We start from the raw sequence: 13,384 nt of genomic DNA on the forward strand, positions 1-13,384 counted from the left end.
CAATATGATACCACCCTATTCCTGCAAGAATGGCCATAATCAAAAAATAATATATATTGGTGTGGATGCGGTGAACAGGGAACACTTCTACACTGCTGGTGGGAATGTAAACCAGTACAACCACTGTGGAAAACAGTGTGGAGATTCCTTCAAGAAGTAGAAGTAGAACTACCATTTGATCCAGCAATGTATCTACCCAGAGGAAAAGAAGTCATACCAAAAAGATTCCTGCACATGAATGTTTCTAGCAGCACAATTTGCAATTGCAAAAATGCGGAGCCAACCCAAATGCCCATCAATCAATGAGTGGATAAAGAAACTGTGGCATATTGGGTTGGGCACAGTGGCTTATGCCTGTAATCCCAGCACTTTGGGAGGCTGAGACAGGTGGATCACAAGGTCAGGAGTTCAAGACCAGCCTGGCCAAGATGGTGAAACTCCATCTCTACTAAAAATACAAAAATTGGCCAGGCGTGGTGGCATGCGCCTGTAATCCCAGCTACTCGGGAGGCTGAGGCAGAGAATTGCTTAAACCTGGGAGGCAGAGGTTGCAGTGAGCCGAGATCACGCCACTGCATTCCAGCCCGGGTGACAGAGTGAGACTCAAAAAAAACGAAAAAGAAAAAAAAGAAACTGTGGCAGATATATATGATGGAATACTACTCAGCCATAAAAAGGAACTGAATTAATGGCATTCGCAGCAACCTGGATGAGATTGGAGACTATTATTCTAAGTAAATAAGGATTACTTTATTCTTTTTCCAATGTTCCAGCTTGACGCAAAACTTTCAGGTTCAACCAGATGGCCAAGACTTATAGAGGCCAAGGGTGTACTCACAAATCTGATTGTCCCAACTGTTAACTGCTCAGGGCTTGGTTTTCTCTACTTGTCCTTTTCTTCAGAGTATAAAGAGGTATACATTAGAGATTTTCTTTTCTTCTTAGGAGAAACAATGTACCAAAATAATGGTTTATATTTGTTTGTAATTTTCTGAGATCTATTTCTATGTTAGTGAGAAGGTTCCTCATCGTATATGCAATTTAACATAATGCTGGACATAGAAGACTTCACTGGGTTTTAAAATTATAATTTATTTTTAAAAGATCTTAGCTAGGATGTAGACACATAAAAAGCTTTAATTGTATATTTGACAAAATAAAAAGTTAAGGCCATGATATTTTTGGAGAGATTTTTAGTAATCTCAGTTTCAAAAAATACTAAAATATGATCAGTTCTTTGAAATGAAATGATAGGTAGGAATAGTCTATAACCTCTATGAAACAGTGCTATAAAAAATTACACTGGCATTGAAATAACCTGATAAACAGCCTTTTGGCAGTACTCATGTTCCATTTAATTTTCCCTTGTGGATAGGAAAGACAGAAGAATAACTTCTAGGTCATGAAAAGTAAAAATTACCAAAGTTTTTGAATCACTACCTAAAAATTAGTTCATTTAGTTAATGTTTCTTTCTTAAAACATCAACACAGATGTTTGGCCACTCTGCCTTGAAACTCTATGCTTTTGTAAAAAAATGTTCAGAATGTCATGTTAAATCCCTGTTGATAAGTACGTTGTTGCATCAAGAATATAAATACTAACAAATCCCAAGTGGGTGACACATTAAACAAATAACACATTAAAGTAAGAACATCACATGTAAGTCCATTCATAACTGCGAAGGGCCTCTATACAACGTTCAACAACAGCATGTGCTTGATGAAGCACAGGATCTCTTTTTATGTATACATGAAATAGTGAATTATAAAATATTAAGTGCCCCTCAATCCAAATGTATTTGGTTTTTTTCAAACAACTCCTGAGTAAATCAATTGTATTTGAAAGCTGCAAAAACAAAAACAAAAACAAAAAAACTCCATGTCTTTTTGTTTCTAGAAATATGATTATTCAAATGAAAAATATTTGTAGCCTAAGGGTATCTGCTATTCTATAAGTGCCATAATTGTAAATGCTAAAATTAAGTTTAGAGAAAGCCTTAAAAGTTAGTTCTTCAGCTAATAAACAGCACAGAAAGTACTAATAGCAAAAAGCTCCAAAATGGTTTTTGTCATTTTAATACCAATCATTGGGGAATTAGGAAATTGCCTGACTTTAGGACTTCTAGAGACCTTAATCTGTTAATTCTATTCCTTTATCCTCTATAATAATGGTAACAAAGTAACTGTAATAAAGTAACAAAAGACAGGGCTTTTCTTTTAGGGCAAGTTCTTCTCATAGGATGCTAAAATTTCCTTTCTAAAAAACTGAGGACTTTTTTCAAATTATAAAAGTAATACATGCTTGTTATATATCTTATATAATGTAGTTATATGTGTATGTTTCAAGCAGAGAAGGGTTTAAAATGGAAATCAAAACTCTTCTAATCCACATCCCAGAGGTAATCATTGGTATCTCTCTTATCAGGATAATCGTAACAGGTTTTAGTGTAAATATCCTTCCAGATTTTTACTATCATATACATACATACATACATATAATTTTAGGTCAAAAATAGATTCATATCTACTTTATGTAACTTCCCTTTTGCCTACTTAGCAATATATAAGAAATTTTTCCATATCAGTACATATATAGATGTACTTGTTTCTATTTAGTAGCTGAACAGTGTTCTAAAGAAGAGGTGCACCATATTTAATCGCTAGCCAAATGGTAGGCAGTTAGGCTGTTTTTGATTTTTGCCATTATAAAGTATTATATCTACTGTCTCATACTCTAAAGAATGTATATCCAGTAAAAGTGAATCATCCCCTAACTTGGCAATTAACTTATACAATCTACAAAATGTTTGAAGTGAGTTTGAGAAGATAAATATGCCCTGTAAAGAATCTAATAGCAGTCAGTACTTTAAGACATAAAATATACATAAGCTATAAGGTTATGAAGAATGATACAATGAACACCCATGTACCTAAATAGTATATTATCATTACATTGGAAGATCCCCATGTTTACTGCCCCTCCTCTGTGTCCCGCAGAGGTAATTTTCTTAAATATTTTGTTTCTTATTACCTTAGTTTTAAAAAAATACTTTTACCACGTATGTTTGTATCATTAGATTAAATATCCTTAAATAGTATATAACATGCACTTGAATTTTGTAAAGTGGATCCATATTATAGTTGAATTGTCCTTTTTTTTCTTTTTTCCTTTTTATTTTTCTGTAACTCATGACAGTGCTGAATTGTCTTTTTATTTTTGTACAGAATTATCTTCTTTAAGATTCATCTACATCATCCTTTGTAACTGCAGTTCATTTATTTTCTCTGATATATAATATTCTAGTGTAAGAAGATATAAGTTATCCATTCTAGTGTTGGTTGGCATATGAGTCATTTCAAGTTTTCTGCTATTTTGAACAATCTTGCCATTAACATTTTTGTACATGTCTCTTGATGTATGTGGGCAAGAGCTCCTCTAGGAAGGAAATCACTAGGTGATAGAGTACGCTTCATATGCAGCTTTATAAGATAATGACCAATAATCTTATTTCTCATATCTTATTAAAATTTCTAAAGTAGCTATACCAACTTACACGTTCACTAGCAGAGTTTATATACTCTATTTGTTCCATACATTTGTTTGATATTATCAGACTTTTTAATTCTTGCCAGTGAGTGTAAAAGGCTCTGCTTATAGTTTTAATTTGCATTTCTTCAATTATTGACACAGATCATCTTGTTATACACTTATCATCCAAGTGGGTTTCCTTAACTCTTTTTTTTTTTTTTTTGGAGATCTTATGTTAGGCTGATTTATAAGTGCTGCTCTGGGCAGTTACACAATTTGTTTATAGTAAGGAGTTGTCTGACTTTGAGCATACTGTACTTGGCGATTAGAAGTCATCATGGCAAGAGAAAACCACAGCTGGCCCCCTGAAGCAAACACAAAAACCAGAGAATGGTAGCGGAAATGTAGAGATAAAGGTGGGGTTTGTTTCTTATTACAAAAGAAAAAAATAACTGCTCAGTAGTCTTAACAAAAGAATGGAATATTTCACACTGGGAGAAAAGACATTGGGATACAAAATTTCAAGTGTTTTGACTCTAGCCCTGTCCCCATATCCTTCAAGAGCAGAGGCAGAAGGAGACAGTTAAAGCAAACAGGCAATTCTGCAAAAATTACTTAGAAACTCTACAGATTTGATTAAAATCTAAACTTCTATTTTGTTTTTTAAAAATTTAATATATCAAAAGTCCTGCTTTAGTGACATGTTATTCCCACCAGAAAATAACCCCAATATTCCCTCTGTCAGTAACATGCTCAAGTTGACCAGCTAACTCTTACCTCTAAACCCATGTGGACAAGTATATGTCTTTTAAACCAAAGCCATGGGGATCAAGTGACTGCTAGTAACATGTCGTCTGTTAACTGACCAGTATTCGTCTTCTCCAGAGGGTGGGCAGGGCACAGAAACCCTAGAGTGGTCATGAAGGACTAACCGCAAATCAACAACTTTCAAGCACCACTTCCCTCACTCCTTACTCAAAAGGGGCTACTTAATTTCTGTCTAGATTATTTGCTTTGAATTTGGTATCCCGTGACCTGTATGTTGTTTCTCCCTTAGCAAAACACACATAAGCCACAAAACTATATATATAATCTTCTTGTTTTTATTTTTTTTTTTGAGACAGATTCTTGCTCTGTCGCCCAGGCTGGAGTGCAGTGGCATGATCTCGGCTCATTGCAACCTCCAACTCCTGGGTTCAAGCGATTCTCCTGCCTCAGCCTCCTGAATAGCTGGGACTACAGACGCCTGCCACCATGCCCGGCTAATTTTTTGTATTTTTAGTAGAGTCAGGGTTTCGCCATGTTGGCCAGGATGGTCCCAATCTCCAGACCTCGTGATCCACCTGCCTTGGCCTCCCAAAGTGCTGGAATTACAGGCATGAGCCACTGCACCCGACCCTTGTTTTTACATTTAAATATAAAAACACTACTCTGTTTTGTGTGATAAATAGAGGACCAAGCAAAAAGAACCTCTTCTTCTTTTAAGGTAGGGATATCCATCAGTTTATACTAAGCTTTGTGTTCAGAGGAGAGCATTTCACCCCAAGCTAGGCTAGTCCCACACAAGCAGGAGACCAAGGGCATTCTCCTCCCTGATCCCCAACCCCTACCTTCTCTCCTAATCCCTACTTTTGTAGAAAGTTGGTTATAATCTTTTAAGAAACATTTCCACCACAAAGGGAAATCCTAACCTAACCAGAATAAGTCAGGTCTTCCCCTCTCAGGTCCCTCAAAGAAAAAATCCCCCTCCTTCAAACATGCAGTCTGTTCCGATAGCTACGCTTATTGAACAGGCACACCCCGTTAAATGGAAGCAGTGGTTATGTTTCACCACCCAGCTCCCCACTAATGTACTAAAAAGCTTCAGTGATAGGGAAAGAAAAGGAGGGTAAAGATGTGAAGAAATTAATAATTTGACCCCTTATCCCAGCCAAAGAAAGAAAGCAAGATTAACTGGGCACAAGGAATTTAAAAAGACCCTCATATTCCATCCTTTCTTTTTTTTTTTTTTTTTTTTGAGACGGAGTCTCGCTGTCGCCCAGGCTGGAGTGCAGTGGCGCAATCTCGGCTCACTGCAGGCTCCGCCCCCTGGGGTTCACGCCATTCTCCTGCCTCAGCCTCCCGAGTAGCTGGGACTACAGGCGCCCGCCACCTCGCCCGGCTAATTTTTTGTATTTTTAGTAGAGACGGGGTTTCACCGTGTTAGCCAGGATGGTCTCGATCTCCTGACCTCCTGATCCGCCCGCCTCGGCCTCCCAAAGTGCTGGGATTACAGGCGTGAGCATCCTTTCAGTTACAATTAGGACAACTGGGAGAGGGGAAGAGTTGGAGTTGGATGAAGTACTAGGAGGGGCTTGACAGCTGGAGGTCTAGTTCACTTAGTTTTTGTACTGGAAGGGCTCAACTCCGGTTTGAGAAGACACGGGCAGATGAGGGCTTCTGTCACCGAAAATGGGTCACAGTCGGCAGAGAGGCAATGATCTTCAAAGTAACCCTTCTTCTCCTGGCCAACAGTCTGGGGAATGTGTATGCTGGCACTATGATGGGCTATAAGAGCAGAAAAGTCGTTGATGTTAGAAGTTTCATGGGAATGTGGATGTGGTACTGCTGTTGCTTGCTTAGTTTCTTGATGGCCTCCTCAATGTATTTCAGACCATTCTCCCGCATGGCCTTGGTGCTAATGTTGGTATGGCAGCCTGCACCATTCCAGTTCCCAGGAATGGGCTTAGGATCAAAGGTTGCTATCACTCCGAAGTCTTCACATACACGATGTAAGATGAAACAGGTCACCCAGAGATGATCTTCCATGCTGATTCCTTCACAGGGTCCGATTTGGAATTTCCACTGGGCAGGCATGACCTCAGCATTAGTCCCTGCAATCTTGACTCCAGAATACAAGCAGGCCCGGTAATGAGCCTCCACAATGTCCCTGCCATAGGTTTTGTCTGCTCACATACTACAGTTAAGATGGACCCTGGGGCTCAGGGAATCCACTGGAAGGCCAACCAAAGGGGTGCCCGTCTGTCCCCATGAGATTATATATTCCTGCTCCATGCCAAACCAGGGGTGCTGGTTGCTCACCATGTCCCTTATCCGTTTACAGGTGTGCCTCAAATTGGTCTCTGCAGGCTTTCGATTGCACTTGAAAACTTCACAGAACACCAGCTTGTGGAGGTCCTTGTGGAAGGGGTCCCAAAACATGGCAGCAGGCATGAGATACATGTCACTGTTGGAACCTTCAAAGTACTAGAGCCACCAAAATTCTACTCAGGTAACTCTTCCACACGCTTGGGTTCACTTGCAGCGCAGTCTTGCTTGAGTACCATCGATTCAGATATACATGGCCTGGACTTTCTCACCCTGAGGTAGGGACATGTACACCTGCTTGACGCCTCTGTTTAAGTGGGAGCTTGCTGAGATGGTCATGGTGGAAGGTGTTCTGGGCACTGAGCAGGCGGGTAGGTAAAGGTAGGCTGCGAGAGTGAGGAGAGGAGAGAGGAGGGGAGGCCACTGTGCGCTCAGAAACTCTGCTCTTCTCCCATTCTCGGCTCTGCCTTTTAAGATACTTAAATCTTTTGCTCATTTTCAAGTTAGGTTGTCTTTTTGAAAAAATACTGATTTGTAGGGTTTTTTCTTTTTTAAAGAGATGGGGTCTTGATAAGTTGTCTAGGCTGGAGTTCAGTGGCTATTGATAGGCGCAATTATAGTGTACTGCAGCCTAACTCCTGGGCTCATGTGATTCTCCTATCTCAGCTACCTGAGTAGCTGGGACTATAGATGCACACCACCATGCCTGGCTTATAGTTCTTGTAATCGGAGCATTAACCTCTCTCTCTGAGGTTTATGTTTTCCCTCTCTCTATGGTATCTTTTAATGAACAGAAGTTCTTAATTTTAATGTAGTCAAATTTATCAATCTTTTCTTTTAACATTGGCACTAGTTGTGACTAGTTTAACAAATCTTTCCCTACCCCAAATTCATATGGATATTTCCTGTATTATGTTTGAAAACTTTTAAGCTTTATAGATTAGCTTTTTTTGGCTCTTCATATTTAAGTCTTTAATACATGTGGAAATGATTCTTGTGTGTGGTGGGAGGTATCTATGCATTTTTTGTATCAATGGTATGTTATGTGTACATGTCCCAGCACTATTAATTGAACTGCTCATCTTTTCACTGCTGGTGCCAATTTTGCCATAAATCGTGTTTCCATATATGTGTGCATTTGTTTCTGGGCTTTCTATTTTATTCTGTTGGTCAATTTGTTTATAAGTGTGCCAATTCTACACTGTCTTAAATAATAATAATTATTATTATTTTTTGAGACGGAGTTTCGCTCTTTCACCCAGGCTGGAGTGCAGTGGCACGATCTCAGCTCACTGCAACCTCCGCCTTCTGGTTTCAAGTGATTCTCCTGCCTCAGCCTCCTGCGTAGCTGGGATTACAGGCGCCTGCCATCAAGCCTGGCTAATTTTTGTATTTTTAGTAGAGATGGGGTTTCACCATGCTGGCCAGGCTGGTTTTGGACTCCTGACCTTGTAGTCTGCCCACCTCGGCCTCCCAAAGTGCTGGGATTACAGGCATGAGCCACTGTGCCTGGCCAAATAATATAATCTTAAACTAAATTTTTGATACCTGACAAGGTAAATTGCTGTGCTTTGTTGTTTTTCTTTAGGAGTATATTGGTAATTTTAAGGCTTTTATTCTTCTGTTTAAGGTTCTGATAGGAATTGCATTGTCTCTGTAGATTGTTTTGGGGAGAATTGATATCTTTAACATATTGAGTCTTCCATTCCATACAAATGATACATTTTCTCATTTATTTAGGCCTTGTTTCTTTCATAAATTTGATTAATTATATCCTATAATTCTTGCTTTCCAATGTACCAATATTTAACATGCATTTATTTACTTTGTCTGGAGTCCCACGGATGATCTTTGAAGTCTTAATATTTAATTACATTTCCACCTTGTGCAAAATGTTTGAGAAAGGAACTTTACATTACCTCTCAACAGAATGCCAATGTCATAGACTCTCTAACAAGGGAGGCAGGATGAGGAAACAAGATTATTAGCTTCTCCTAAATTGTCCTCACTGTTTTGTGGGAAGTTTGTTTCTGAAAGATCATACACACATTTTGAAGCCAAGTGGAAATTTTGTTGTTGTGCTTTACAAACACAAAGTACTTAAATACTTAATTAAGTAATTCATTTATCGTTTGGATTATCCACCATTCATTGTCCTCTGCTTGGACAACTGAAAACTGACTGAAAAGGGCTGATGTGACTATAGACATTAAGTAATATATAACTGAATGCTTTAAAGATGACTTTTCATTTTCAAAGAACTTGCTTATATTACAGAACTAGTAAAATAATCTAGCATTTTCAAAGAGAAAACAAAGAAAGAACAAAAACTCTTAATATTTATGCCAAGTAATAAAAAAGTATTTGACAGAAATGATAGAGATACTGACGCTTCATCCTATTAGCTGTGGTAGGCTCAAGAACTGATATATTGGTAATTACAAAATATTCTGGAAAAATGAAAAGTATTCTCAAATAAGAGGAATAATCTGAAAGAACTACAAATTACCTGTAGAGTACAATTCATCATCCTTATTATGTAGTCAAACTGTTGATGGTCTAATATTGCCCGGTTTTGCTGGACATGCAAACCCAATTCATCAGTGAGACACTGTCTTGCTGCCTTTCCTTTAAGGGCTCTGAGTGCAGCAGGAAGGGTCTGAGGACAAGAGAGGTACAAATGACCAAATGGTACCACTGGGGGAAACAACAACTTTCAAACAATCATCCTGAAAATTCAAACGCATCCTATAATTTATTTAACATAGTTATTAGTAAAATTAAACTCCTAGGGAATAGGTGATTTATTATTAAGACAATTATAAAATAGATTTGTGGTTATTTTTATATGTAAACCAGCAAGAAATATAAGATAATTATGTGATAAATTGAAAAACATTTAATTTCACTATTTTTCTTCAAGTTAACAAAACTTTGGTTACCAAATTGACTGTTGCTTCAGATCATGAGTCAAAGCCATAGATACGTAAGACACCTTTCTATAACTAGTAAATTTTCCATGGCAAGAACAGAAAGAAAAATTAAAACAATAAGAAATACAAGTGATTTCATACTTTTAAACTGGTTGGCTGCTTAATCACTATTCAGCTTTAAATTATGACTGAAAAGTTCTACAATCTCTTCTCATTTAAATATCATAAAAAAGGAAAGAAAAAGGACTCGGAGTTGCAAAAACAGATATCTCTAGGTGTATGCATTAAAACTCTTTTCGCTTTACAACAGGCACATCCATAAAGATGCCTCCTTCAGTTCACCATGTAGGACTTAGTTAATTTACTTCACATATAATAATAATAAGCTTATTTAGCTAAAAAATCAGAACAAAGGAGAAAACAAGAAGTAGGAGGGCATGATATCACTAAAGGTGGGTATAAGAAATAGGATGTGAAAGTTGAAAGCAAAAGAAGTGAAAGACTTCAACTCTAAGAAAACATAGAAACCAAAAAGCACAAAATGTAAAGAGCACTGGGTCAGTCAGTGTAAAGGTAAACATTTCTACATGCTTTAACCAACCCCTGAAAATAGATATTCAGAACTATGACAATGAGTCAGTAAGAAAGGGTTACATTATGTTCAGCATGTTTCATTGAAGAAGGCAAGAAAACATGCTCTAAGGAGGCACATTTAAGTTCAATACTACAGTTCCTATAATTCATTACATATTCTAACTAGATTCTTTGCAATACATAAAATTATATTAAAATGTTAAGTTTTGGCCAAGCATGTTGGCTCATACATGTAATCCCAGCACTTTGGGAGGCTGAGGCGGCTGGATCACTTGAGGGCAGGAGTTCAAGACCAGTCTGGCCAACATGGTGAAACCCCATCTTTACTAAAAATACAAAAATGAGGCGGGCGCAGTGGTGCGTGCCTGTAGTCCCAGCTACTTGGGAGGCTGAGGCAGGAGAATCGCTTGAACTTGGGACGTAGAGGCTGCAGTGAGCCAAGATCATGTCACTGTACTCCAGCCTGGGTGACAGAGCAAGACTCTGGCTCCAAAAATAAAAATAAAATGAAAAAAATTTTAAGTTTCTAAGTAATATCCCAAAATAGTGTTTTGTGAACAATGTTTAAAAGTTTGACAGAAAAAATTACTATGAATATATTTCTGGTGGTCATATAATTAAGCTTGGCCCAACAGCTTTAAATCTTAGACACTATTCATTTAAAATGATCCAAACAATGAGAGGATACTTTATTAGGAAAAGGGATAGAATTAAAGAAGAGAGAAGCTGGTAACCTCAGCACGTAAATCTGAAAGGGAAATGATAAATGCTTACTTGGGAAAGATCACATTTTATTACCTTTTCAGTTTCCAAAATTTTATTTTCAAATATGAATGAGATACAGTTTCTGACAACTTCTAGTCTTTGTGCACTGTTGAAAACTGTCGTCACCTTGTCCATTATCGAAACTAGTAAAAGAATATAAAGAAAGCACAAATAAATTAAACTTCTTTGGTAATTACAAAAGCAAAGAGACTACTACTTTAAGACTGTAGGTTGGGCGTGGAGGCTCACACCCGTAATCCCAGCAATTTGGGAGGCTGAGGTGGGATGATCCCTTGAGCCCAGAGGTTTGAGACAAGCCTGGGCAACATAGCAAGACCCTTGTCTACAAAAAATACAAAAATTAGCCGGGCATGGTGTCTTGCACTGTAATCCCAGTGACTCGGGAGGCTGAGGTCGGAGGATCACTTGAGCCCAGGAGTCCAAGTCTGCGGTGAGCTAGGACAGCACTACTGAACTGCAGCTGGGTGACAGAGTGAGACCACATCTCTTATTAGAAAACAAACAAAAACTGTTGATATGACCTACACCTTATTTTTTCCCTTATTACAGAGCATTGAAAGTATTCCATATCATTATTTTGATTACATGTTCCAGTGTTGAAGTATCAGGCTAGCTGATTAATAATTTCACAGGGTAGATTCTAATGAGACACTTAACTTTTATGCAAACTAATTCACATTGCAAAGTAAAATTATATTAAACAAAGGCAAACATCTATTTTAAACTTTGTTTACAACTAGTAATATTGTTAATATTTCTAAGATATTACCAAAGAAAAACTACATTCCACAAAATATTAGATATTACACATTTGAGTAGAGGGGACTTGAAAGAAAGTAGTGCAAACAAAGAGAAACGATCATGATCAATGAACTGTTACACTGGCTTAGGAAAGTCACTTTTTAGTCATGCAAACCTAGCACCTTTCACCTTTTACCATAGGGTTAGAAAATTCTAGTGTATTACCTAGGCTACTAAGCTAGTTACCTAAATAAATTTAACTTATTAAAATAATATTAGAAGGATATAAATGAAAGTAGTATTTATATAAAATTTATACTTTCACAAAGAACTATACTATGCCATTTGTTTAAATGAGGTAGTATCAATAGTTTTTTTTTGCATAAATTTAAGGGGTACAAGTGCAGCCTTGTCACATGGACATACTGCATAGTGGTGAAGTCTGGGCTTTTAGTGTATCCATCAACCAAAATGATGTATATTGTAGCCATTAAGTAATTTCTCATCCCTCACTCCCTTCCCACCCTCCCAGCCTTCTGAGTCACCAGCGTCTTATTATTCCACACTTGATGTCCATGTGTACACATTATTTAGCTCCCATTTATAAGTGAGAATAGTATCAATGGTTCTCAAGCCAAAAAGACTACTTATATTTTATGGCTACTCTTTGGATTCTAAAGGCACAATCCCTTCACCTTCTCCCATACCTAAGAAGAAAGACTATCATATTTTACTCATTAGCATTCCTTTCATCTCATCAATACAAAACCTATATTCGTCAAATAATGTTTTAAACTTTTTTTTTTTTTTTTTTTTTGAGACAGAGTTTCACTCTTATTGCCCAGGCTGGAGTGCAATGGCACGATCTCGGCTGCCTCCCAGGTTCAAGTGATTCTCCTGCCTCAGCCTCCCAAGTAGCTGGGATTACAGGCATGCGCCACCACACCCGGCTAATTTCGTATTTTTAGTAGAGACAGCGGTTCTCTATGTTGCTCAGGCTAGTCTTGAACTCCCGACCTCAGGTGATACGCCGACCTCGGCCTCCCAAAGTGCTGGGATTACAGGTATGAGCCACCGCGCCCAGCCTTAAACTTTTTAATAAAACTAATTATATGCTCACAATAAGCTGCAAATGTAATACAAAGAAGATCTTTGTACTCATCACCCAGCTTCCCCCTATGGTGACATCTTTCATAATTATGCTTTATTAGGATCAGGAAAACAACTGGCATAATACAATGAATGAGACTATAGACCTTACTTGAATTTTACCAGTTTTCTTCAAATCATTTTTAATCATGTAACATTAATTTCCTGGTTAAACTGATTATTTCACGTGACTTTTCTCTCTGAAATGCTCATTCATAATTGTGGGCTCTGGTGCTTCCCACACACATAGGTTGGTGGCATTAACTGAAAATCTATCTATATTAGAATAGAAAACTTACAATCTCCAATTAATAACACACTTTATTGAGAGAGCAATGTGTTTATGTTTATAAACTTTTAAATCTAAAATATCTTTAGCAGTATTTTAAATTTTCTTTAGGCTGAGTTATTAGAAAAAAACATATTTTCTTTTTCTTTTTCTTTTTTTTTTGTGAGACAGAGTCTTGCTCTGTCACCAAGGCTGGAGTACAGTGGTGCGATCTTGGCTCACTGCAACCTCTGCCTCCTGGGTTCAAGTGATTCTCCTCCTGCCTTAGCCTCCCAA

The 13,384-nt window shown here is 37.7% G+C and overlaps 1 protein-coding gene and 1 pseudogene across 11 annotated transcripts in view; both read right to left on the minus strand.

Moving 5' to 3' along the window:
• The window catches only part of SBF2 (SET binding factor 2), a 526,174-nt gene that overhangs the window by 174,164 nt on the left and 338,626 nt on the right, over positions 1–13,384 (minus strand). For all 11 annotated transcript variants that reach the window (NM_001425069.1, NM_001425070.1, NM_001424318.1 and 8 more), the window contains 2 exons: positions 10,942–11,051; positions 9,126–9,275 (listed from right to left, as the gene is read on the minus strand). In NM_001425069.1, coding sequence (NP_001411998.1) covers positions 9,126–9,275; positions 10,942–11,051 — 260 coding nt within the window. The remainder of the gene's footprint in view (positions 1–9,125; positions 9,276–10,941; positions 11,052–13,384) is intronic.
• GLULP2 (glutamate-ammonia ligase pseudogene 2) lies at positions 3,754–7,081 on the minus strand (annotated as a pseudogene).

Source organism: Homo sapiens, chromosome 11 (genome assembly GCF_000001405.40).
Source record: "Homo sapiens chromosome 11, GRCh38.p14 Primary Assembly".
Classification (NCBI taxonomy): Eukaryota; Metazoa; Chordata; class Mammalia; order Primates; family Hominidae; genus Homo; species Homo sapiens.